Source organism: Homo sapiens, chromosome 4, assembly GCF_000001405.40.
Source record: "Homo sapiens chromosome 4, GRCh38.p14 Primary Assembly".
In the NCBI taxonomy this organism is placed as follows: Eukaryota; Metazoa; Chordata; class Mammalia; order Primates; family Hominidae; genus Homo; species Homo sapiens.
In genome coordinates this window covers 74,219,064-74,246,850 of record NC_000004.12, presented here as the reverse complement: position 1 = coordinate 74,246,850, position 27,787 = coordinate 74,219,064, and the positions used below count along the sequence as shown (strand labels likewise).

The 27,787-nt window shown below is 35.3% G+C and overlaps 1 protein-coding gene across 20 annotated transcripts in view, besides 1 other annotated feature; it reads right to left on the bottom strand.

The window, feature by feature from the left end:
* Positions 1-27,787, bottom strand: part of MTHFD2L (methylenetetrahydrofolate dehydrogenase (NADP+ dependent) 2 like) — a 188,540-nt gene that overhangs the window by 56,249 nt on the left and 104,504 nt on the right. For 14 of the 20 annotated variants that reach the window (NR_147097.2, XM_047415712.1, XM_047415715.1 and 11 more), the window contains one exon: positions 21,457-21,549. Coding sequence is in view for 18 of the 20 variants with exons in the window: in XM_047415712.1 (XP_047271668.1) it covers positions 21,457-21,549 (93 nt within the window). In the remaining 2 variants the exon portion in view is untranslated. Of the gene's footprint in view, positions 1-4,658; positions 5,433-10,523; positions 19,830-21,456; positions 21,550-27,787 lie in introns of those variants that run through there. The other 6 variants (XM_047415717.1, NM_001351310.2, NM_001351311.2 and 3 more) reach the window with 3 other exon arrangements.
* Positions 17,984-18,053: a silencer, noted in NCBI's record as "silent region_15477". NCBI's record gives its function as "represses an Ori minimal core promoter by ATAC-STARR-seq in GM12878 lymphoblastoid cells {active_cell/tissue: GM12878}" and the evidence as "EXISTENCE:reporter gene assay evidence [ECO:0000049][PMID:35858748]".

The following is a 27,787-nucleotide window of genomic DNA, read 5'->3' as shown; positions in this document are numbered from 1 at the left end:
CCAAAACAGAGATACAGATCAATGGAACAGAGCAGAGCCCTCAGAAATAATGCCGCATATCTACTCCTATCTGATCTTTGACAAACCTGAGAAAAACAAGCAATGGGGAAAGGATTCCCTATTTAATAAATGGTGCTGGGAAAACTGGCTGGCCATATGTAGAAAGCTGAAACTGGATCCCTTCCTTACACCTTATACAAATATTAATTCGAGATGGATTAAAGACTTAAATGTTAGACCTAAAACTGTAAAAACCCTAGAAGAAAACCTAGGCATTACCATTCAGGACATAGGCATGGGCAAGGACTTCATGTCTATAACACCAAAAGCATTGGCAAAAAAAGCTAAAATTGACAAATGGGATCTAATTAAACTAAAGAGCTTCTGCACAGCAAAAGAAACTACCATCAGAGTGAACAGGCAACCTACAAAATGGGAGAAAATTTTCGCAACCTACTCATCTGACAAAGGGCCAATATCCAGAATCTACAATGAACTCAAACAAATTTACAAGAAAAAAACAAACAACCCCATCAAAAAGTGGGCAAAGGACATGAACAGACACTTCTCAAAAGAAGACATTTATGCAGCCAAAAGACACACGAAAAAATGCTCATCATCACTGGCCATCAGAGAAATGCAAATCAAAACCACAATGAGATACCATCTCACACCAGTTAGAATGGCAATCATTAAAAAGTCAGGAAACAACAGGTGCTGGAGAGGATGTGGAGAAATAGGAACACTTTTACACTGTTGGTGGGACTGTAAACTAGTTCAACCATTGTGGAAGTCACTGTGGTGATTCCTCAGGGATCTAGAACTAGAAATACCATTTGACCCAGCCATCCCATTACTGGGTATATACCCAAAGGACTATAAATCATGCTGCTATAAAGGTACATGCACACGTATGTTTATTGCGGCACTATTCACAATAGCAAAGACTTGGAACCAACCCAAATGTCCAACAATGATAGACTGGATTAAGAAAATGTGGCACATATACACCATGGAATACTATGCAGCCATAAAAAAGGATGAGTTCATGTCCTTTGTAGGGACATGGATGAAACTGGAAATCATCATTCTCAGTAAACTATCACAAGGACAAAAAACCAAACACCACGTGTTCTCACTCATAGATGGGAACTGAACAATGAGAACACATGGACACAGGAAGGGGAACATCACACTCTGGGGACTGTTGTGGGGTAGGGGGAGGAGGGAGGGATAGCATTAGGAGATATACCTAATGCTAAATGACGAGTTAATGGGTGCAGCACACCAGCATGGCACATGTATACATATGTAACTAACCTGCACATTGTGAATATGTACCCTAAAACTTAAAGTATAATAAAAAAAATTATTGAAAATCCAATAATTATATCTAATGATATTAACATATAATTACTTAATGACTTATATTTAATGATATTATATAAGCAATTAAAATTGATGAATTAAATGTTTATTTTGAAAAACAATATGTCTATTACATGTTAAAATAAATAACATATTTCAACTAACTATATATTCCAAAATTTTTAAAAAATAAGAATAAAAGGCACTATCTTACAATTTTGAAAATCTTTAAGGTCCAACCTAACAGAAAGACAGCTGGATTCTTTTTTTTTTTTTTTTTTTTTTTTTGAGACTGAGTCTCACTCTGTTGCCCGGGCTAAAGTGCAGTGGCGCGATCTCAGCTCACTGCAAGCTCTGCCTCCCGGGTTCATGCCATTCTCCTGCCTCAGCCTCCAGAGTAGCTGGGACTACAGGCGCCTGCCACGACGCCTCGCTAATTTTTTTGTATTTTTAGTAGAGACGGGGTTTCACTGTGTTAGGCAGGATGGTCTCGAGCTCTTGACCTTGTGATCCGCCCGCCTCGGCCTCCCAAAGTGCTGGGATTATAGCCGCGAGCCACTGCACCCGGCCAACAACTAGATTCTTAAATCTTCTTCTGTATTCAGCTTCATATGCATATGTAGTTGGAAAAGGCAGGAGTGTTTTACTAGCCTTTTATGATAATTGTGGATATCTTTCTTTGATTCTATACCAAAACTTGACAAGTGATAGTTTCTTAAACGTTAATTGCAATGTAGAATTTGAAGCCACTTCAATGAACTCTGTAATATTCATACTCCATAATCTGTAATGCTAAAATCCACTGGTCTGTCTTGCATTTTGAGTGGATTCCATGACATTATGTATTGCTTATTTGGAAAATAGCATTTCATTGAGTTTTGTGGATATTCCACATTGCCACATATCATTATACAATATAAAAATTACATTCATTAGTAGCACTATTGATCTCATGAGAAAAAAACATATAAGTATTACAAAGCTGTCAAGCTCACAGTGGGGATACTGCTTTTGCTTGAAATCAAACTATGGCTTAGTACAGAGGGCTAGTATAAATTCACTAAAACTCACCTGGGTGACTTTGGAACCTATTACTAGACTTTGCTTTTATATCTTCCTTCCCATTGACAAAAGCAGATGATTCAGCACTCTGACCCATTTCCTGCAAAGCCAATAGATGGTTCTATCTCTACCCCCAAGTGAAGACTACCCACTCATCTATCTTTCTGATCTGAGGATTATACCACTTCCCAGAAGACTGGAAAGATTGTGGTGATGAATGTAACAAATAAATAGATGGTTCTATCTCTACCACCAAGCAAAGACTACCCACTCATCTATCTTTCTGATCAGAAGACTGGAAAGATTGTGGTCATGAATGTAACAAATGACTTCACTCTTCATTTGAGAACCCACCCCCAACAAACAGGGAGTGGCATTTTCTCCCACAGGCCCAACCTTAAACATGTAATAATCACATAACAACAGTAGGAACAAATAGTAACAAGAGATTGTTCCGTCACACCTACCAACAGATTGAGCAGTGTTATTTATAATTTTGATCCTCCACAAAGCATAAAAACAACAGTGTTTTGGGCCAAATTTCACAGAGCCCACTATTATAGGTGAGGTCTGTGTACAAGCCAAAGTCAAGAAAGAACCGGTGCTTTGAGAGAATAAAAATGCTCTCTTTACTCCTAGGGATTTAATGCGTGGCTCTGTTACCTTGCCTGCAAGCTTTGTTTTGGGAGAATTTATAGGTGCTTATGATATACTTGTGATGTAAGGACCAAACAAAAAATAAAACAACATATTCATATTCATTTAGCAACATGAAAAACATGCAGAGAAAGAAACTCTGAACAGGCCTGAGATGGAATCTTGTAAATCAAAGGAATAATTTTTTAAAGTAAAAAAAAAAAGTTTATTAAAATCAAACAAATAAAACAACAAAATATCAAAATAAACCAAATATTTGTTTTTAAAAATCAGCAAAGTCCAGAAATGTGGATTTAAGAAAGCTTCAAGACTTTGCCTCAAATAGGTCAAAGGTCTTCACGGCAGAGTTTTTATGCTACCATAACAATCCCACCCCATTTAGCCAAATAGGAATGTGATGAGACAGTATCCTCACATTTGGGAGTACAAAGATAACCTGCAGAGTTCCTGTACTCAGGGAGCTTGAAACATAGTATTTGGAAGATGACTGGCATAACTGAAATGCGCTGTGATAAAAATATATCCGATTTATGCATAGTTAAAACAGGTAAAAGAAAACTACAAAAGTCTTTCTTGGCTACTAATCATAAACCCTTAAAAAGCATATGGCAGCTGAGAGGCCACATCCTTTGGGAGGCCTTCTGTGCCACAGCAATCCTAACACTTGACCAAGTCCCCTTCTATAGGTACCTATAGCATCCTGCACCTCTCTCTCTCATCAATTTTCAAATTTTGCTGTTACATTTGTATGTTGTCATTTGATTAGTGTCTATTAGAGTAGACTATAAGCTCCATTTAAAAATATGAATGTGAAATGTTATACATTAGGAGAGAGTTATAGAATTGTAGTTAGAACTTGGCAAACTTTTTGTAAATTTAAACACATGTTGGTTTTTTGTTTTCTTTAAATATGCCCTTTCAGTTCTATCAAAAAGTACTGCCAAGGAAAAGAGACATGTGACCAACATAACTATAAATTCCTGAGCAACAGCTATCTAAGGCTGATGCCCACTCTTTCAAATATGTTAACACTTACACTTGATATAAAGCAAATAAACAAGGAAAATTAAAAGCACATCCCACTGTCCAAAATCGTGGCAGCCATAGCCAAAAACAGAATAAAGAATCAATATCAGGAGCTTTAGAGTAAGACAGACTTGGTTTCCAATCCTAATTCAGCTAGTTTATTGTACGATCATAAGCAAATCAATTCACTTTAAGCCTCAACTTTTTGCATCTATAATATAGAAATAATAACCTTACTGACCTCATAAGAATGTTGGAAGATTTAAATAAGATGTTTCAGAAATGCTCAAAAAATATTAGTTATTATAATAAACATTGTAAACACTGATATTTAAATAAAGAAATGATAAGCCTATACTAAAACTCTATACTGAAAGATTACATTAAAATCTGTTTGCTACCAACCACTAAGTTTTTAAAAATAATGTACCATGATACTCAGAAATATGAGAATATTTTAATTATTTAATCATACAGAAAAGATTAAATGTCCACATACATGCTTTTTTGACCATTTTTGTAGTCTGTTTTTATTTTTTTACTTATTTACTATATGCTTTAATTAAATTGTCATTTTTTGATAATTATAGATTCACATCCATTGTAAGAAATAATACAAGATACTATACAATGATAATATCTTGCCAAACTACAGGACAATATTATACCCAGGATATTGACATTGATACAGTTAAGATATAGAACATTTCCATCATCAAAAGGGTCCCTCATGTTGCCTTATTACAGCCACACCCAGTTCCCTCCCACATCAACCTGTCCTTGACTCCCGGAAACCGCTAATTTTGTCACTTTCAAGAATGCTATATAAATGGAATCATATATTCTATGATTGAACAAAGAACATGTGAGATTGCCTTTTTTACTTCATAATTTGCTGGAAATTCATTCAGGTTGCTGTATCAATAGTTCATTCCTTTTCACTGCTGAGGAATATTGCATGAATGGATATACATGCTTCTTTTTTTAGCAATGTCAAGAAAATTAATAAGACAAATTTAAAACTAGATAGGTTTTTCTAAGGTCTAAAATACTTATATAGTGCCGGGTGTGGTGGCTCATGCCTGTAATCTCAGCACTTTGGGAAGCTGAGGCAGGTGGATCGCTTGAGTTCAGGAGTTGGAGAGGTCCTGGGCAAAATGGTGAAATCTCTCTACAAAAAATACAAAAATTAGCTACGCATGGTGGTGTGCACCTACTTAGGAGGCTGAGGTGGGAGGATCACTTGGGCCCAGGAGGTCAAGGCTACAGTGAGCCATGATTGCGCCACTGCACTCCAGCATGGGAAATAGAGAGAGACCCTATAAATAAAACAAAAAATTAAAAATTAAATAATGATATTGGGGAAAAATGGATCTGCACCTATTTATTACAAAACATGCTTCAGTTAAAATATGGATTTATCTTTGGCAGACCATAATATTATAGAACAAGTTATTAATGTCATCTGGATAATTCGACGGGCTTGAGGAAAGAGCTCAGCAATAAGGAATGTTCAAGACAGAATAGAAGAAATCATTTGATAATGGTAAAAGTAAGGAACTCAATTGAGAGCAGGTAGAGGGGTTTCTTTTCTATCTCTTTCCCTCATATTCTTGCCCCACTCCTTCCTCTTGGCGCTAATTAAGAACTAGATGACTTCTTTATACTACATATATGGAAATGAATTTGAAAGCCGAAATTATCCTCTATTTTAGTATCCCTAGGGCTTCCAGTCTCCCCTGTCTTTTTAAAAAAGCTTTATTGAGGAATAATTCACATACTACATGATTTATCCATTTAATTCACATTACTTTGTCCCAGGAAAAGCCAAATAATTAAAGGTGTTTGGTAGTTTGTAGGAGACAAGCAATTTCAGTTTAATACATTGTTTCCATGCTCCTCTATATTAAAAAGTAACAGCTGCAGAAAACAACATGACAGCAGGCAGAATCTTGCCAGTGATTGGAAATGGGTCATCTAAATATTCTTTATTTTGCTTTATAATATGAAATCAATACATTTTAGAAAATTCATTTAGAGAATTCAGAAAATGATAAAAAGGAATATATATTTATCTACCAGAGATAACGTCTCAAGTTGTATTTTTTAATTCTATCTTTGTTTTCTGTTTGTGAGTGTGTATGCATGACTGTGTGTGGTCATATCTCTTTCTGTAATGAATATAATCGAATACAAATGTTTTTTAAAATATAATTTCATTGCATCTATAGAATTCCTATAGATATACACCATCATCCATCACCCATTAAATGTTCCAACACTGTTGAATGTTTAGAGTGTTTCCACTTTTTGCGATCATAAATAAATTTATAACAGATACCTTTGTATGTTATCTCTGTAAGCCTCAATATGATTCTTTAGGATAAATTTCTAAAGGTAGTATTTTGGGAACCGAGATAATGTTAGTTAACAAGCTTGTCTCCCAAAAAAGTTTTAAAAAATATTTATTTGTATTTGTAGAAATTTACTTATGTTTACTATCTAATTCTGTAGCTAGGCTGCAGTAAAACTAACGCCATTTCCCGAGTTCTTTCCAAACTGCTCAAAACCCTTTGCAGAGCTTCCACTATAACGTCATAAAATTTATCATTAAGTAGAGGAGGGGGAACCCCTTCAAATGTTTTTTTATTCAAGAGAAGTAAATTTGGGGGTGGTATCTTAGTGACCTACAAGAATGTATGTTACTCTTAGTACACATGGAGGGATTCTCACTCCTTTTGATATGGTGCACCACATTATTTTTAAGTATATCCTGACCAACTACCCTGGGAAGGATGTATATGGTAATGTGGATTTGGGAGTGTATGTGTCTGTGTATTTTACAGAGACAAGGAATCTTTCTGACTTTTGTTAAAATAAATATTAAGCAGGAATTATGAAACACATAATAGAAACTCAACAAAAACATTACTGCAATGCACTTGCCCCTTTTTACAATGTAATATCTGATTCTTATATTGATTATTATCTTCATCTGAAAGGCACATATTAATAAAATTCTAAGTGAATTGCCTGCAATCTGCACACTCAGAGAAAAACTATGAGTTATTTGAATTTGTTCCAACCACAATCATAAAGCCCACACTTCTGCACAGTACTCGTTAATTCTCACATTTTGTAACAAAGGTAAGTCATTTTTAAAATGAGCAATTATGAATTAAACAAAAATAAATGTGGGGGAAATGTGCTTCAGTAAAAGACAGATCCAGAAGCCTTTTTTTTTTTTAAAATTATACTTTAACTTCTAGGGTACATGTGCACAATATGCAGGTTTGTTACATAGGTATACATGGGCCATTTTGGTTTGCTGCACCCATTAACTTGTCATTTATATTAGGTATATATCTCCTAATGCTATCTCTCCCTCTGCCCCCCCAAACTACGACAGGCCTGGGGGTGTGATGTTCCCCACCCTGTGTCCAAGTGTTCTCATTGTTCAGTTCCCACCTATGAGTGAGAACATGCAGTGTTTGGTTTTCTGTCCTTGTGACAGTTTGCTCAGAATGACGGTTTCCAGCTGCATCCATGTCCTTGCAAAGGACATGAACTCATCCTTTTCTGTGGCTGCATAGTATTCCATGGTGTATATGTGCCACATTTTCTTAATCCAGTCTATCACTGATGGACATTGGGGTTGGTTCCAAGTTTTTGCTATTGTGAATAGTGCCACAATGAACATACATGTGCATGTGTCTTTATAGTAGCATGATTTATAAGCCTTTGGGTGTATACCCAGTAATGGGATCGCTGGGTCAAATGGTATTTCTAGTTCTAGATCCTTGAGGAACCACCATACTGTCTTCCACAATGGTTGAACTAGTTTACACTCCCAACAATGTAAACGTGTTCCTATTTCTCCACATCCTCTCCAGCATCTGTTGTTTCCTGACTTTTTAACGATCGCCATTCTAACTGGCGTGAGATGGTATCTCATTGTGGTTTTGATTTGCACTTCTCTGATGACCAATAACGATGAGCATTTTTTCTTGTGTTTGTTGGCTGCATAAATGTCTTCTTTTGAGAACTGTCTGTTCATATCCTTTGCCCACTTTTTGATGGGGTTGTTTTTTTCTTGTAACTTTGTTTAAGTTTCTTGTAGATTCTGGATATTAGCCCTTTGTCAGATGGGTAGATTGCAAAAATTTTCTCCCATTCTGTAGGTTGCCTGTTCATTCTGATGACAGTGTCTTTCGCTGTGCAGAAGCTCTTTAATTAGATCCCATTTGTCTCTTTTGGCTTTTGTTGCCATTGCTTTTGATGTTTTAGTCATGAAGTCCTTGCCCATGCCTATGTCCTGAATGGTATTGCCTAGGTTTTCTTCTAGGGTTTTTATGGTTTCAGTCTAACATTTATGTCTTTAACTACATAAATGAGTAAAAAGAAAGGACTTTCATAGAAAGTTGCCTTAGAACGCACCACAGATATATACCAATACACATTCCTTCCTTCTCAGAACTGCTCTATTTCAGAACCAAAGCCACACCTAAAGCAGGTAACCAGGTGCTCCGTCAGAGTCTCCATAGTACATTTCAAACACCACCTCTGTATGGATTATTACATAAGCACTGACATGTAACATTTTGATCACTACATTTTTTAAATATCAATTTTCCTAGGTATTAATTAGATATGCTGATGCTATTAAAATGACACAATTAATAATGACTATAGATCTAATAAAATTGTTTCACTTTCTGATAGTCAACACATTGTCTGCAACAGACATTCAGTAACACCATGCTCTGAATACACCATTGGAATGACGACTTCACCTACAGAAAGGCTTATATTCCTACCCACAGTAGAAAGTAAAGCAATGGTATTTTCTAGTTTTTTCATTGAAGACAGTAATTTCTCAGTTAATTCTTTGCCTCTCCCCTACCTTTTTTTGAACTCTGCAGGTGCAAGCTCTGAGTCAGTGGTGCTGATGCAATGCCATATTAAGCTTTCATGAAGTGGAACAGTCCCAAACAAGGTATGAAAGAGAATCTAAGGCTGAATGAGTCCTGAAAGGATCATCTTCCCCTATGAAGAGCTTCCTTACCTTCTAGGAAAAAAGCTTAAACCAAGATCAAGATAAGCACTTGACTTCTTCTTTTTTTTCAGACAGAGTCTGTCTCTGTCACCCAGGCAGGAGTGCAGTGATGCGATCTCAGCTCACTGCCACAGCCTCTAAAGTAGCTGAGATTACAGGTGTGCACCACCACGCCCAGCTAATTTTTGTATTTTTAGTGAAGACTGGGTTTTACCATGTTGGTCAGGCTGGTGTTGAACTCCTGACCTCAAATGATCTGCCCACCTTGGCCTCCCAAAGTGTTGGGATTATAGGCTTGAGCCACCGTGCCTAACCGGTTAAGCACTTGACTTCTAAAGAAAGGAATTCATTCATTGAACAGGGAGTTTTCTAGTCCTAAAAGCAAGGTTCTTCACCAGGTACAAGAAACACAAATATAAATAAGACATGGTCCTGGCTGCTGGAGGTCACAGAACAGTGGATTTCACTCCAGTGCTGTCCCACTATAATTCTTACTATTCCCTACTCATCACATATGTCATGTAGATCCTTTCTTTGTATTTCCTTTCTCCTTCTCCTCTTTATTATTTTGTTATACTTCACAATATGATTGAGAGAGGACTTTTATCCTTTATACGAAAGCACCCTTGTCATCCCATGTTACCACAACATATTTAAATTTTACAAAATGTAAAGGCATATTTTATGCCTGATATGGGTGTTATTAAACCACTTTTTTACAACTATAAAGTACAACTTCATATAATCCCATAAAAGTAAGGTTTATTTAAAAAAAAACCTAAAAAGAGATAAATCCACTGAAAGTATAGTGGGGAAAAATGCCTTATACCTCCTCCTCAGTGTAACTTCAGATAGCATTTATTGGAGTCTCTTGATGAAGTGAGTGATAATATTCATGGGACATATCCAAAAAGGCACATAAAAGTTAAAATATGATTTTTAATCATCTACTGACACACTAGGAAAAATATATGTGCGTTACGCACCACTCTCTATTAGATATGTGAAGCCTATCCTGTTTTTCATGCAGAGATAATCATTTACTGGCATGACTGAGCTAGAGACAGAAAGCTTTCAATCCATACTAGCAATGTAGACCCTGGCGTGTCATAAGTTGCCTTGACCTGAGCCCCAGGGAAGTTGAATGGATACCACAAGTGTGAAGGAATAAAGGACAAGGTGAGACCATAGAGAATACACTGGATGGCTAGAAAAAACTAGCGAGCACATCCATTGCATGTAGAACTTTCGTTTTCAGGTCCTAGTTTTTAAAGAATAACAGTGAATAAGTCAATAGATGTTTCAAGCAAAATTTAGGCAATCTAGTTTAGAAATCAAAAAATCAAGCCATAAGGAATTGAGAAAACAATTTATTTGTGTTTTAGAAAGCATTAACATAATCAAATAATGGACATGGGAAATCCAGAGTTACTAAAACCAGGCTGTTGGTCACAGAAAAAAGTGCTGTGAAGATATAATAGGCTGTGAGCAATAAAACTGTAAAAATCAGATCAAGCTGGTAACCTGGACAAGTCAGATAATAGAAATTAACTGAGCATTAGATGGTCACAATAAATCCAGTATGCAAAGACTACAAATGCAAGCAAAAACAAAAAATTCTGCCTGCTGGGAACATTTATTAAAGAAGTTTACATTACATTAAAGAAGTTTAAATTTAATCTTTTACATGTAAAAAATTAAACATTTATGAAGTAAAGTCCATCATTTTATTTTTAGGACACAATTTTGTCTCCACTATATGGCACATTTTGGTTTATCAAATACATTCTCTCATGTTACTCAAACAATGCTTTCAAGCCGATAAAGGTCGGGGTAACAAAAGAACAACAGGTATGAAACAACAAAGCTTCATAAAAATACCAGTTTTTTTCTTATACGATCAATTGAAGTAGATGCTGGAATAAGAATAGGCTATCTTTCATTGGCACTAGGTATACAGAAGCAAGAAGGCAATGTTATAGAAGTAACCATATCAACCAACACACTTCAAAGATGTCTGAAATAGAAATTCAGTCCATGCACTATAAACAGACTTATTCTAGATGGTTTTATCCATGAATTCGTGTCCAATATCCCTGATATTAATGACTTCCAAAATTATCACTCCAGAACAGAGCTCTCTCCCAAACCCCACACCCACATATCTCAACCCTCTCCTGGACTTTTCCACCTGAATATAACACCTAGTGTCATCAACTCAACACATTCACATTGAATTAATTATCTCCTCCCACTCACTCATCTTTACTTCTCTCAAACTTTGCTTCCTTTCTATATACCTTCCTTGTTAATGGCAACACCATATACTTAGTCTCTAAAGCCAGTAAGCCTTTCTAGTCTACTTCCTGTTTTTCCTTCTCACTTTCATCTACTCCTGTATTAGTGTAGAACTACATCAATGCTACTTCCAGTTTTATCCCTGCACAGGGGCTATCCAAGTGATCTTTCTAAAATTCAAATATGATGTTATTTCAGTGCTTCTAATTATTTAAAGGTTGCCTATGACCTACAGGATAAAATTAAAATTTCTTAATTTATTATGATATCTGGTTTTTCCTAAATGTTATGCTTCATCTTTCACAACTCACAGACAGGCACCTGTCATTTTGAAAGAGTAAATATTTTCTTTGCTATATGCATAGCATTTTATAGCTCTAAGCTGCCAGAAGTCTCATTGCCTTTTATTCTGCCTAGTGAATTTCTGTTCATTCTGTGGGATGAAACCCGACTCATTCATGTACTTTTCAGAGTCAGAGGAAAAGAGCTATTACTTCCTCTCCAATGATGCTCTCTCTCTCTGTTTTTATTTTTCAATCTATCTGTGTCTCTTACACACGTAAACACACACACACACACACACACACTGTCTCCTTTTCTAAACAGATAGACATGTACATATACATACATACATGTATCTAATATTGCACTAGCAAGCTGTATTACACTAATTTGTTTGCACATCTTTCTCCTCCACTAGTGTCTGGACTTCTCAAGAGCTGAACCAAGTTTATATATATATATTTTTCTAATGCCTGCTATATGGCTTAATATGTACCAGTGGCAAAATTAGTGTTTGCTGGATGGATGAATGAATGAGTCTCCAAGAAAATATGTATAAACTTAAACATTACAGAACTGTTCATAATAGCAATATATTGGAAATAGCATACATATTCATCAACAGAAAATGGATACTCAGCAATTGAGTATTATAGAAATAGTGCTACATCTATTAGCATGGGCAAACTTGAAAGTCATAGCATTAGTCAAAACAAAGCAAGTTATAGAAATATAAAACAGGTAGATTGAAAATATACATAATATTCACATCTGTCAAATTTAGGTATTGATAACATAAGTGTTAACGTTTTAATTAACATTATTCTTATACACTTTTGGGTATATTTAAGTATTTCCTAACATAAACCTTTTAAAGACCTGGACATAAAAATATAACAAAGTGATAATATCAAAGGCTACAGACATAACTTGAAAGGAAGAACCTCACTTCTTCCCAAGCCCATGATATACATGCATGGACCCAAATAGAATTAAGTTTAAATGATGTATCATTTGACCATCTAAAGTATATTTCCAAGGAAGTCTGTGATTCTCCACAGTGAAGAAAGATCTTTGATATAAATTGTTCTTTACTGAAGCTTTTTTGGATATTGCTATCAATGCTTGTTTTACTCATGAAAAATCAGAAATAGTACATATATATGTGTTGAGAGAAGAGCCTCAAAAGAAAAAAAATCAACCTCAGCTAACCATGTACTAATACCATAGATTGAAAAAACCTAGAGATGAAAAGATTCCCCCTTTTCAAAAGTCCCTGTAATTAGAACAAGTTGAGGAGAAAAACACAAGGGTCTCAGTCAAATGAAGAAAAAAAAATAAAACTTTGTGATGGTTCTGAGGTGATCGATCTTGGAAAAATGTTTTTGCTTATTTGAGGCTAACGAGCAAGGAAACATATAAAAGTTTGTACATGTTTTTGTACAGTCTATATTACCAAAGTATTAGAAAGTTAAAGTCTTTTCATAATAGATAATAAATTTTCATATATTTTCATTTAAAACATGTTGTAATTTTAGTGATTGGCTCACCACACAATAGGAGCTCACCACACAATAGGAGAATGAAGGGAAGGGAAACTACCTTCACTTAGTAGCCATTATGTGCTAAGGATGTAATTCTCATGACAGTTTATAAACACTAGTATTACTACCTCCATTTTGCGATAGCTGAAAATAAAGCCCAGAGAGTTAGATGTGATTTTTAAAGTTAAAATTGAATTTAAAACCAAACCCTCTTTACTTTAAAGACCACGTTTCTTTTGATACTACACCCCACTTCATATTTGAGTCCCCTTCCCCACACACTAGGCTTCTATCTTCTCTTGTGGAAAGATAAGGATCTAAAGCTTCATAGTATACTGATTGGTAATGGTAACAGGCCTGGAGAATGGGTTACAAACGAGACACAGCTATCTCCTCTCTCTGTTAAAACTTTACATAAATGCACAGGTAAGGTATGAAATATGCTTTAATATTAAACACACGTGTAAGCCTTTATTATACACCAAGCTTAAATGTTCATTTGTTTTTAGAATATAAGTAATAATTACTAAGAAAATAAACTTAAGACCAATACGATAAATATTATGGGTTACGATGCAAATAATCTAAGATGTTTACAGCTGTTTGCTGCATTATTCATAACAGTAAAACTCAGGGAACTATCTAAATGTCCAATAGTCAAGAACTGAATAAATAAAATTTAGTATATCCATAGCACTCAATACTATAGAGTCATTAGAAGTCTGTTTTGGAAGAAAGCATTTTATGAAGAAGCACGTACATGGTGTAGAGCTGCTAAATACAAATAGTATATACAAGGCAAAAGAATTGTTTAAATATTTAGATCTATGTATAAATATAAAACAGTACAAGGTCAAACATCAAATTGTTTACCTTATTTCACTTTGGTTGGGATTAAGGTTCTTTCCCTCCCTCTCTATTGTCCAAGTTTTCTAAGTTTTTGCAGTAAGGATGTATTACTGACACCAAGAAAAATATCAGTAGTCAGGCTGCCCTCTCAGGTATTGACAAAGCTCACTGCAGGCCAGGGAAGCTTTGCTTACTTAGTAACTTAGGCTTTGGGCATGGGTTGTGAGGGCCAGAATAGCCTGAGGTGGGAAGATGAGGTAGAAACAGAGAGAGAGGGAGACTGGGACGGTGGATAAAGGCCTGAGAGAAAAAAATCCCTTTCATCTAAGTGCCTCGGCCTTCCCTATCTCCCCTCTCAAAGTCAGGTTGTTCCAAAGGAGGGAGAGGCAATAAGGAATTCATCCAGGGAACAACATAATACACATCTATGAACAAGTGCTGATGTCATCCTGAGAAGGCATACATCTTAAGTATAAAAATAAAGTTTCCATAAAGTTGGTCCCTCATGTGTAAGTCACTTCTTAATTTATTTATGCTTATAAGAACTACTCTACTCTGATACTGTATTAGTATCAAAAGCAACCAAGAAGTATATTCTTTTAGTTATGCTAAGTTGTAGCTTAATAATCAACTGATTTATCATTTCTAAATTGTTTAAATATTCACATGCAATGCCTAACATAGAATACATTAACACATAACACTTATTGAATATTTGCAATATACTGGGCACTGTGCTATGCTCTTTACATGGATTGGCTAGCTTGATTACACTATGCAAAAGGTTTTTTTTTGAGAAGTGTTAAATATTCTTTATTTGGTATTACACATAAACCACACTAAAATGCCTTTCAATAAGTAAAAGGCATCATTTTAGATATGGGAAATTCTACTTAGATCAGCATAGTTAAGATCAAAAATATAAAGTAGACATCGCTATGAAAGGTTACTTTTATTATTATCATTTAAATCACATCAATGAACAGATTGAGATTCAGAAATGAGACCAAGCTCACAATCAGCAAGTCTCAGAGCTGGAATTTAAATCCTGGAATTCTTACTTTAGAAAGGCCTGTGCATTTTCACTACTCTGTACCATGAAAATAATGACAACTTTTAGGAAGGAGGGAAGGAACCCTTAAGTGGAGTAGCAGAGGCTAGCAAAAGAGGACAAGCTGGACAATAACAAATAAGAAATGAGATATGGAAAGGACTATAGTATGAGTGAAGCCATGAAATGTGCTGGCATCACTCAGGAAGCACTCAGGGCCGTAAGTGAGCAAGTTGTACTCCCGGGTTGCATGAGCTGTGGGGATGGTGGAGCTATTTCCTTGCCCCACCCCTTGGAACTTCTCCATGTCCTGGTTTCCTGAAAATTACGAACCCTGTTTCAAGGAGGAGGAAATACACCCGGGGGAAAACCCTATTGAGCCCTAGGATAATGTTTGATGGGAGTGTTTCTAAGACTTGATAATATGATTGGAGAAGTGGTGAAAGGAAATTCGTTGGTCACTTTGTACTTTATGACAAGTAAGTATGAATATTCTGAGTTACTAAATTGCCCATTTATCCTGTTTTATATCATGGTATCTGTCATTAAAAGTGTTGCAATAGACACTCTAAAGTTACAACTGTGAAGGTTCATTCGTCATGCTGGAAGGGATGGCTTAGTGGCCAAAAATGCCAGCTTTCACCACCGTGACACTGCATCCAGAGCTTGACATGCAAGTGGCATTGACTCAGCAGCTCATTTCCTGAATATAGTTTCAGAGTTTACTCAGATGGGTGGAGGGTAATGTGGACAATGTCTAAAAAAACTTGCCTATCCTGCTGAATAATGAAGATTCCTAGAATTTTACAGACTTAGGATAGCCTACAGTTTCCTTAAAGCAGATACGAGAAAGCCCAATGATCTCCAACATGATCTTAGAATTGATACTGGCTAGCTTTCCCTTCTTTATCAGTAGCTTGTGCAAAGCTGATTTAGCCTTTCCCTAAACTGCTCCTCCCCTTTCAACCATCCAGTACTCTTACTGTTCTTTAGATGTAATAGTCTCCTTACTCTTTCTTCACCTTTCCCATAATTTCTTTTTTTCTTTTTTCTTTTTTTTTTTTTTCTGAGACAGAGTCTTGCTCTGTTGCCCAGGCTGGAGTGCAGTGGTGTGATCTCGGCTCACTGCAACCTCCGCCTCCCGGGTTCAAGTGATTCTCCTGCCTCAGCCTCTTGAGTAGCTGGGATTACAGGCACCCACCACCACACCTGGCTAATTTTTGTATTTTTAGTAGAGACAGGGTTTCACCATGTTGGACAGGCTGGTCTCAAACTCCTGACCACAGGTGATCCACCCACCTGAGCCTCCCAAAGTGCTAGGATTACAGATGTAAGCCACTGCACCCGGCCACCTTTCCCATCATTTCTTAATCTTAACATTTACACCTAAATCACTCCATTCATACACTTAATGACATGAACTACTCTTTCATGAATAAATATTTCACTTTTTATTGCTTTAGCAACTACTTTATGATGACAAACTGGAATAATTTGGTAGTTCCCAAAAATAATGCTACAGTGTGTAAATCCAACAACTAGAATAATTCCATCTTAAAAAATTAGATTATATCGGCTAAATATGTATCAATTTGAAAAAGTTCTTATTGTAGTTATAATCTCAAAATCAACACAGCTCACATTTACTGGGCAACCACTATGTGTTAGATATTGTTCTAAGCACTTACCTAGCAAGCTTAAAAAAAAATACCACGCCTTTACCTGCTGTAGTCTAATGAAGATAACAACTATAAACAGGTACTATGTGCTATAACCATGGTACATTAAAGTACTCTAGAAACTTGTTAACTCTCTCTGTGAACTCAGAGATTTGGCTTTGAGTAGGGACTTGAAGCTACTTACTTCTAATTGCATAGTGTGACAGGGTCTGATTCTGCAGATCTAAGCTTCTAACTGAGTCTAAATCTCAATTTTGGGGGCAATTTTAAAAAGGTGAGTGATATATAAGCCAGTAGGAGTAGTACTATGAGAAACTGGAGGGATGACATTAATATTAAATAAGCTAATATTCATGTCTCAGGATCTTCACACAGGATTTCCTCTTTTACTTTCTTCAAGCTTGTGTCAAGATTTCATTACCACATTCTTCACTCTCATCTCTCAGACATTATCATTCTTTCTGATATATATCACGCAATCCTCCTCCTTCTACCCTGAGTTCTCCTAGATGAGGTTGTTTCCATATATGCTGACATTCTCATTATGACAGTGATCTAGCCCTCCCCGTTCTGGCTACCTCTGCCATTAGATCACTATTTCCTTTAAATACCCACTGCTATTTGTATTTGTTTAGTTCCCACACACAATGCATGATATGGTCATTCTGGCAATACTTTATTCCTATTGTCTGGTTATATGGGATTTATTTTTTATATTCACTCACATTCTTTCTATAATTTATAAATGCCTACATGTTTTATCCCTAACTTCTCCAGGTGATTATTAATTAACTGGAAATGTAGCAATCTTTAGTTGTTTCTTATAAATTCTCAATTTTCTTCCCCTAAATTTCCCATTGGCTAAATATTTATTTCTTCAAGAAGACTGCAGAACTACATACAAATCTGTCTTCTACATTCAACATACTTTTGTATTTAGTAAGAGGCATTAAAGGTGAAATAAAAAAGCAAGGAACAGGACTTCTTCCCACTGTCTTTGTTTAAAATGTCTTCTAACTAGTATTAGCATGGTGTATGGCCAACTTGGCTACATCTGAAGTAGCTGCTCACCTGACTGGCGCCCTCTGGTGGTAAGAAAATACCCTCAGCGGGATGCTTGTGGGACAGCCTCAACACCCACCACACCTAAAGCTTGAGTACCTCCTGGCTCCTGTCTTGTTTATTTTATATAGGCTTGAGTCTTCCTTGTCCTTCTGTTCCTTTATTTTCCTTTTCTTTTTCTTTTCCTGTCTTCTTTTTAAATATCTGTACTCAAGGCTGATTTAGGCCTTTACAAAGAAAGCTAGAGAGGATAAACTCAAGGAGGACAACAGTGTTGGCATTATGGCATAAGCTTTGACTTAGTTACAAGAGAATATCAGTGTTTCTTGCAAGTGGATTGTGATCACCCATGTGCCATTTGTCATAATAATAAAACAAACCACGAGTAGGAAGGCATGATGAGAGATTTTCCTCCACTAGAATAAAATACTCATTCAATATAATATTTGATAAATGTTATCTAAGGACAATAGTCAAATATTCTGTACAAGCTGTTAACATTAGTCAAATAATACCTTTTAAGGATAATGTAAACTTCATTCTTCCTAAGGTTAGAAACGGACAAAGATGAGCATTCAAATTCCTCTTTATTCAACAAATTCTGTGTCTTGTGTGTGAACAGAAGTGTCTCTAAAAAGAAGTCAGTATAATACTTATCTGCCATGAAGGTATCAGTGGCTGAAGCAGTATTTCACTTAATGCTGATCTGTGGTCTGAAAAAGTTTACTAACTCTCTAAACATGCCTGACTTCTGTCAATGCAGTTCAAAAATTTGCATTTGATATCACCCAAATGTAATTTTTTGGAAAAACAGGCAATGTGGTATGGTTATCTGTACCAGCTTACTGATTTTTTTTCTGGGAAAAAGAACATTTCTATTTTTACTCTATGAGGAGCCAACTACTGTTCCTGCAGTCATGTATATGTTCTAGGTTCCAGAAAAGGGCCTATAGAAGAATCAGATATTTTATTAAATTTGATTGAAACTATGTGTTCAAATACAAAACAAATTAGAGCAAAATCTAGACCCATTAAATGAAATTGCAATACCTCTCCTCTCTGTTTCTACTTTTACACCTCTAAAGTCAGTTTTTGACACAACTGCAGACATGAGGTCTGATATGTTTTTAAAGGTGTGATCAGTCCTTTAAAACCTAAGTCAGACCATGTTGATCTGCTGTCAGCCATTCTTGGCTTATATCAAAATCCTAACCATGGCCGACAACGTCCTTCATGAGTTAACCCTGGCTACCTTCCCAACAACATTTCTTACTAGTATCCTCATAATTTATTAATATTTTATTAAAATCAGAGTAATATAATAAGCCGTCAAAGACCTGTGTTCTGGAATACATCAAGCATGCTCCTGCCTAAGGACTTTGGTATCTGCTGTTTCCTCTGCTCGGGATGCTCTTCCCCCAGGAATGGTTCTTGATTTGTGCCTTTACTTCATACAGATCTGCTTCTGTCGGTATCTCCATGGGAAACAGAATCCACCCCATATAGTAATGAAATAATTTTTACAGCGATATATTCAGGCTAAGATAAAAACAAAAGCTGTTGCAGCTCTTAGAGATTAGAAACTGGAGGAAGCTTGTACCATTCCTAGGTCTGTAGGGGTGAGGAAATGGTGTTACTGCAGCCCAGTGAGAGCCTTAGCTGTCGGGGAAAGGATGCTGAGCAAAAGCTATCGATGCAGGAGGAAGAGAAAGACAGTAGAAGTGGAAAAGAGTAGAGAAGAAACACCATGACTTGACATTTCTCTTCTTCTCCTTCAGATATCCTACTAGTGCCAAACCTTGCTGGGAGCCAGTGTCAGAGGAACACAGGTGAGGCCATCTTCATTAGTCAGCCTCTCAGGGCCAGACCAGGGCAGGGAAGGGCAGACACTGGGGCTGGTGGACAAATGGAGAATGGCCAGGACAAGAACTCTACTCAAAAGGTCACCTCCCAAGAAAGATCTTCACCAATCAATCAATCTAAAACAGTATCCCCAAAACACTATTCCTTCATCCAGTTTCATTATAGCACTTATCATTATCTGGCATTATATTTTACTGTTTATTTGCTCTCTCTCCCACTAAGATGTAAGTTCTACGAGGGCTGGCATTTCATCATTTGTATCCATTGCTGTATTCCTAAAATTTAAAACAGATACTGCTGCATAGGAAGGGTCCAATATTTATTGAATAAATAATATTCAATTGAATGAATTTAGTATTCAATTGAATGAATTTAGTACTATCTTTGCTATTCAAAAGTACACGTTTAATTAAAATCAGAGTAAATGATAAACTCTCAAATATCTGTAAGTGAATTATCCATACACAAGCCCCATATTCCAGCCTTTTCTATGTTCTAAAATATCTTTCTTGTTAACTTACCCTGTAGGAAAACACAAACAAATTTAAAGAAATTTAATCTTATGAAATATAATAAGTATACATATACATATATTCCATAAAGCTTTCTTTTGTATATTAAAATAGAGAATTAAAGAGTCTCATCATTGAAGGAAGTATTAAAACACAATGAACCCAACCTAGTACTCAGTAGACAGACATTCTCTGCAATGGTCCTTTAAATGGTAGGGAGTAAAGAAAGAATGTGATTCCTTCCCCAAAGAACATATGCTCAAAATAATTACAACTGTTTACATGCATTTTTAGCTATGTTGTTTAATTTATTGAAATATTTTGATAATGTTGAAAGGGGATTTTTTTTTTGTCAACCAAAATGGGGCAAAATCCAATAAACGTTGACAAATAATGCTCTATGAAATGCCACTTATGTTTTTATCTATTTTGCTAATCACTGTAGTGATAAGGAACTTACTATCTCAAGAACTGGTGACTTTGAGGCAGCTTTTATTATTATAAAAGTTTGGGCTTGGGTTTTTTCTTTATGTTAAAAAAAAAGTTGTTGTATCTCTTTAGGTCATACTTTCTTCCAGACCAAACATCCTCAGTTCATCAGACCAAATTTCATATGTCATCTTTTTTGGAAAGATTCTTATCCTAGATACTCTCCTTTGGACATGGTCTCATCCATCAACTTTTCCCCTAAAGTCTAGACTTCAGAACATAATTCTTCAGCCTGGCTGTGTTTAGGGCAGCATAGTGACTATCTTTTCCCCTCACCTGAACATTCTATGTTCCTTGATACAACTTGAAAATACAAGTTTTATTGTTCTCCATAGCTACAATGTATTATTTACCTGCACCAACCTTTTTCCGTAAATGCTGTTAAACCATGTTCGTCAAAGCAATTAGCAAAGTGCACATTGTTCTTGTGCTTAATCTGTCATCCCAAAAGCTGTTTGGGTTTTCCATAATGAAGTAACAAATGCTAACATAGGCACAATGGACTGATATAATGATTGCCAAGAGACAGAATCCAATCAACAGAAGTTAGTCATACATAAAGCTAACTCTCTCAAAAAGCTTTCAAACATGTCAGCATTTAGGGCAGGAATTATTCTGCTGATGACATTCCAAAAAATAACAGTCACTAAGGACTTACCTGCAGCAACTATGATAATATCTGCCAGCTGCGTATGAATCTTCAGTTGCTCTTTGGGGGTGTATCTGTGAGCTATTGTCACAGTTGCATCACCTGGAATACAGAAGAATTTCTATCAGTGATTACTGAACTTTTAAAAATTTTATAAATGCTCTAAATCCAGAAGAGTTTCACTTATTTCCTAAGAATAGAAAGGCTACTTTGACATGACTAAATCACTTTGAGCACAAAAGCTATACAAGAAAACCAAGAGGAACCAAAATATTGTACCCTTCAATTAAATGAAAGGAAAATCAATGAGACCAAATTAGGGTAAGTGCCGATCATCACAGGAGAGCTATAAGTAGAGTCCCTGAAATACAGAATTTGAAAATTCTGTGTTGACTGCTTAATACATTAGTATACAGGATACTCATTGTCTTCATAATGACAAGCAAACAAATAATAAAAGCAATAAGGTAAGTGAACAAAAAATGGGACAATATATTGTGGGAGCATAACTGAGAGATTAATTCTGTCTTGAGAAGGTGTCTAGGAGGGATTCCTAAAGGAGGAAATACATTTTTTTAGGTCTTAATGCATGAGCAGAAGTGTTCTAATCAGGTAAGGAAGAAAAAGGCATTCCAAGCTAAAAGAATAGCAGGAAAAAACTAACCAACTTTGAAAGTGGGTATTTGGAAAATAGCAAAATTTTTTTGTCACAGGTTATGGTACATCACAGGAAGATTTTATATGAAAGCCTTAAGGGAGGGTTGAAAGAACAAGAGAGGCAAGAGATTCCAATATTTAAAGTGTGAGCCATGAAAGGAGAGTGAGGGAAAGTTGGTGATAAAGTGCAGTCAAGAGGATTTCTGGTAAGAATACGGCTAAGACTGCATCTTGTCTTCTCCTGGAAGATGTGCAAATGTTACACAGTTAACCAAAACAACAAAAGTTACATGATCACCATTTTTAGAAAAACTGGAAGACCTAATTTCTACAGACTCCAAAAACATGTTAAGAGTTACCAAAAGCAGCAATTAGTAGATACCATACAGGGAGAAAGGCAGCAAAGAAATGCGGAGAATGACAACATGGCCGGCAGCGGCAGATCTCTGAAATTGACTGCAAAAATACACTTCTGTGAAAAGTTTATCCCAAAGTGCAAAAAAATATAGCTTTCCTAATTGGGGCAGTGAGAATAGAAATAAAGGCAGAAGAGCCTTCCGGGACCCAGTATAGTTTAGAGTGGGTGGGAACACACTTACATAGAGGGGCTATTTTAGAAGAAAGCAATCTGACTCTGTGAAAGTAATAAAGGAGTCAGAAGGCTGCACAGGACCTCCTCTAACCCCCAGCAGAAGTGTCCTGTAAACAGTAGATCTAAAAAATCCAACTCATTCAATGATGAGTAATAAAAATGGATGTGACACAGCATCAATAAAAGGATATTATGCAAGAGCAAACCCAGGGGAATTTGGGGAGTGATGAAGCTGTTCTGATTCTAGTGGTGTTAGACTAATTAACTTAATAGATGACTACATGCATTTGTCTAAATTAATGAAACTGCACACCAAAAAGAGTAAATTTTACCATATGCAAATTTTTAAAAATTCAATAGAAAGATACATTTAAAAAGTGTCAGAACCAAAACAAAAGGCAAAACAAAGGCAAAAAAAATTTAAGAACTTAGCAATGTACCAATAAACTCAACAAAAAATGTCATGGAAAAGTTGAACATTATGACCAAATATTATACAAAAATATTTATTTATTTTTATTTGTTTTTAAGTTTTATTTTAAGTTCAAGGGTACATGTGCAGGTTTGCTATATAGGTAAGCTCATGTCACGAGGGTTTATTGTACAGATTATTTCATCACTTAAGTATGAAGCCTAGTACCCATTAATTAGTTTTCCTAATTCCCTCCCTCCTCCCAACCTCCACCCACCGGTAAGCTTCAGTGTCTGTTGTTCCCCTCTCTGTGTCCATTTGCCCTCATCATTTAGCTCCTACTTATAAGTGAGAGCATGCAGTATTTGGATTTCTGTTCCTGTATTAATTTGCTAAAGATAATGGCCTCCAGCTCCATGTTCCTGTAAAGGATGTGATCTCATTCTTTTTTATAGCTGCATAGTATTCCATGGTGTGTGTATGTGTGTGTGTGTATGTAGTGTGTGTGTATATATACACACACACACCACATTTTCTTTATCTAGTCTACCATTAATGGGCATTTAGGTTGATTTCATATCTTTGTGACTGTGAATAGTGCTGCAATGAACGTTTGCATGTGTCTATGATAGAACAATTTATATTCCTTTGGGTGTATACCCAGTAATGGGATTGCTGGGTCGAATGGCAGCTCTGTTTTTAGGTCTCTGAGGAATTACCCTGCTGTTTTCCACAATGGTTGAACTAATTTACACTCCCACCAATGATGTATAAACATTCTTTTTCCTCTGCAACCTCGCCAGAATCTGTTATTTTTTGACTTTTTAATAATAGTCATTCTGACTGTGGTGTGAGATGATGGTATCTCATTGTGTATCTACAAATGATTCATGTAAAAAAATGAGAGTAAAGGATTTTATAGCCAGTCAAATCTGCCTCCAAGATTAAAAGTTGCAAACAATTTTGAAAATGCAAGAATTCAGGAAATATTGTTCCCATAAGTCTTTCCTAAGGAACATGCTAAAAGACACAGTTTACTTAATCAAAGTATGTCTGAGGAAACTAGCAAAAGGACTGCTAAAAGTTTTGATTATGATTATAGGATCAAGACTTTAAAAAAGTGTGAGGATTGGGGTAACAAACAGCTATGGTTTGAATGTTTGTCCTCTCCCAAACTTATGTTGAAATGGAATTGCAATTGTAACAATATTAAGAGGTGGAACCTTTAACAGGTGATTAGGACACCAGTCCTCTGCCCTCATGAATGGATTCATGCTGTTATTGCAGGAGTGGGTTCCTTCTAAATGAACAAGTTCAGCCCACTTCTGTCTTGCTCTTGCCCTCTCTTTCCATTCTGCCTTCCATCATGAGATGATGCAGTAAGAAGGCCCTCACCAGATGCTGGCACCTTGATCTTGGACTTTCAACCTCTGTAACTGTTCAGAAATAAATTTCTATTCTTTATAAATTACCCAGTCTGTGATATTCTGCTATAGCAGAACAAAACAGACTAAAACGCAGACAAATGTAAATGGTCTTTGCTTTTACTATGCAGAAATAACGCAACTACCAAAATTAGAATGAGAAAGGGCAAAGATGAGAAAGTTTGTTGACTGCCTAATATGTAATAACAGGAATCAACAAATGTTTAAAAGCTGACCAACCAGATAATCAAAGTATAAGAACATTTAAAAGTATAAAGTAAAAAATAAAAAAATATATATTTTTCAAATAATTTTTACTGGCAAATAGCAGGTCGGAGACAAAAGGAATGAGGGGAGAAAATAAAAACATTTTATCATTTATTTATTGTACTAGAGTATCAGTAGCCACCCTATAAATAAATAGAGAATTAAGAGTACTATATAATGTTGTAATTATTAAGGTAATAAAAACCTTCTTAAATATTTTTTTAATGCACAAAGAAAAAACTGTAAAAAATAAAAACAATAAACAGAACAGAAAATAATATGATAGTTTTACCATATATATTTATCATAAAAACAAATATAAATTTCCTTGTCATTTATTTAAATGAACAATATTTTCAAATTGACTTACAAAGCAAAATCTAATTATATGTTTTGCTAATTCTATACAGCATACATTATACACATAAAACAAAGTTATTCAGAATTTAGAAATGTTGAAAGCAAACATGTAGCAGGAAAATGCCAGAAAATAATGCTTTCTGTCAAACAAAAATTCAGCACTAAATAAAACAAAGAGGCACACATTATAAAGTAAAAGAGTGATTCAAATAAAGATAGAAAAATAATATATACATAAGAAAAAGAAATAGAATTCCTTTAAGCTGAAATTACAGGAGATATATATAGAAACAAAATATATTGTATTTGTTTAATTTATTTTTGAATAACTTTCTCAGTTCATGACAGATCAAGGATACAGAAAATGTCAATAACTTAACTAATGTTATATATATGACTATATCAAACTCAGAAAATAAATAATACATTTTCTTCTCATGTGCAAATGGTATAAACTTGGTTACAAAGAAAATTTTAATTAATACCAAAAAGTAAATAATTAGATAGACTATAATTTTATTTGATTACAACTCAGTAAAATTATAATTATTGACAAAATCGGAAAAAAAAAGATCCTTCATAAGGAGACCCTTCTATTGGAAGTTTTTAAAAATTCTTTTAAATAATTCTTGGGTCAAAATAAAACAAAACAACATTGCAAAATTTTTAGAAAGATTTATAATGAAAACACTTCATATTAGATCCTATAAAATAAATATAAAGCAATGTTAAAAAAATTGTGGACAAATTATTATATCAATAAAACAGAAATAAGAAAATGAATCATTTAACTGTAGAAATTGAACAATAAACAAATGAAACTAGAAAAAAAACCATAAAAGTTAAAATGTACTTGATAAATCTGAAAAACCAGACTACAATAAGAAACATTGAGATAATTCAATAAATTAATCAAGTAAAAATAAAATATACAGATGTAAATAGCTTTCATATATAACATCTTAGAAAATACATTGTAAGAAGAGGCCCCATTATAATAGCAGTACAAAAGATAAAATACTTAAAATAAGCATAACAAAAAATGTGCAAAATCTATGTAGTAAAAGAAAATCTCCAGAATAACACCAAAAGATATAAATAAGACCAAGAAACTAGAAAGATAAACTATGCCCTTGGATAGGAATGTTTAATATCATAAAGATTAGAATTCCACCTATATTCATTAAAAATATAATCAAAGTCCAATAAAAATGAACTTTTTGGAAGTATGTAATTTGATACTAAGGTTAATATAGAAAAATCAAAGATAATTAGGAAAACTTTGAAAAGGAAGAACAATGAGAGGCAACTAGCAGCCTTTTTTATTTTAGTTGGTACCACCTTCTGCCCAGTTATTTACAGTAAAAGTCTAAAAGTCTCCCTTGGTTATTCTCTTTCTTTCACTCACTATAAACCCTCAAGAATGTTGAGTATATATTTATAACCATCCCAAGGTTATCAAAATTATAAAGCACCCACCCATCTCTGTTTTAGTCCTGGCCTCCTACATTTGAAAATGTTCCTTAATACCTTAACAACCCACTCAAGTGTTCTCTGATTCCAAATGAGAGCCTCCCAAATCCCTACCAAAAAAAAAAATCAAAACCAAAATGAAACTGAAACTTCCCATTTCCATCAGTACTGATTATTTCATCAAGAATTTGACAGAGACATGAAATCCAGTGATTTGTACACACATATAAGTAACAATCTGTAAAGTTGCAGGCAAAAGAAAAGTATATCAGGATAAATTTCAATCTGCGTGGAAAACCCTTGTAGGTAATTTCACTCCTTTTTCAATACTATCAGGTTAACTTGATATTCCTCAGTCAGTTTGGTTGTTGATGTCCGTAGAAACTATCCAAGTCATATTTGAACTTGATTGATCAGAGTTTATGACTATACCAATATTAACCATGGAAAGGCATTCAGCCTGTTATTCGGAAGACCTGATGTTGAAGAGAGGTGAACCAAACAGCTAAAAGCAAATGTGTTCAAATAATGCCTCAGACTCTTCTGACCTTTGCTGGTGAGCACCTGGATGCCTGTTCCTGGTCCTGACACCTAGCTTTCCTCTTAAACCTATTCTTATTTAACTCATCTTCCTTGGCATGTGAAAATTCTTGTCATTCCTATATTCAATTCTTATCGTCCATTAATTGTCTTCAACTAATCCTCTGGCTTGCTGCACCTAATTTTTTTCTGTCTTCTCAGCTTTTTCCAAAGGGCAGCTAGTACTAGCAAGTCGCAGCAGGTACTCAAGAGTGATGCATATCTCTGACCTTCAGATGACTTTTTCCCACACTCACAGTTGTATCCTTCTAGAGTGCATATGAGAACACTGTGGGCTAGGGCCTCATTTTCTATCACACAGAACTAGATAAGCAGAGTCTATAAGTAACTATTTTGTGCCTAGTGTTTTATAATATGTTTCTAAGACATAGGAAGAATAAAATACAGTTGTCCCTCAGTATCTGTCAGTATCTGGGAGGGACTGGTTCCAGGGCACCTGCCGCACTGGCAGATACTAAAATCCACAAATGCTCGAGTTTCTGATATAAAATAATATAGTATTTGCATATAACCTATGCATATACTCCTACACACTTTAAATCATCTTTAGATTAC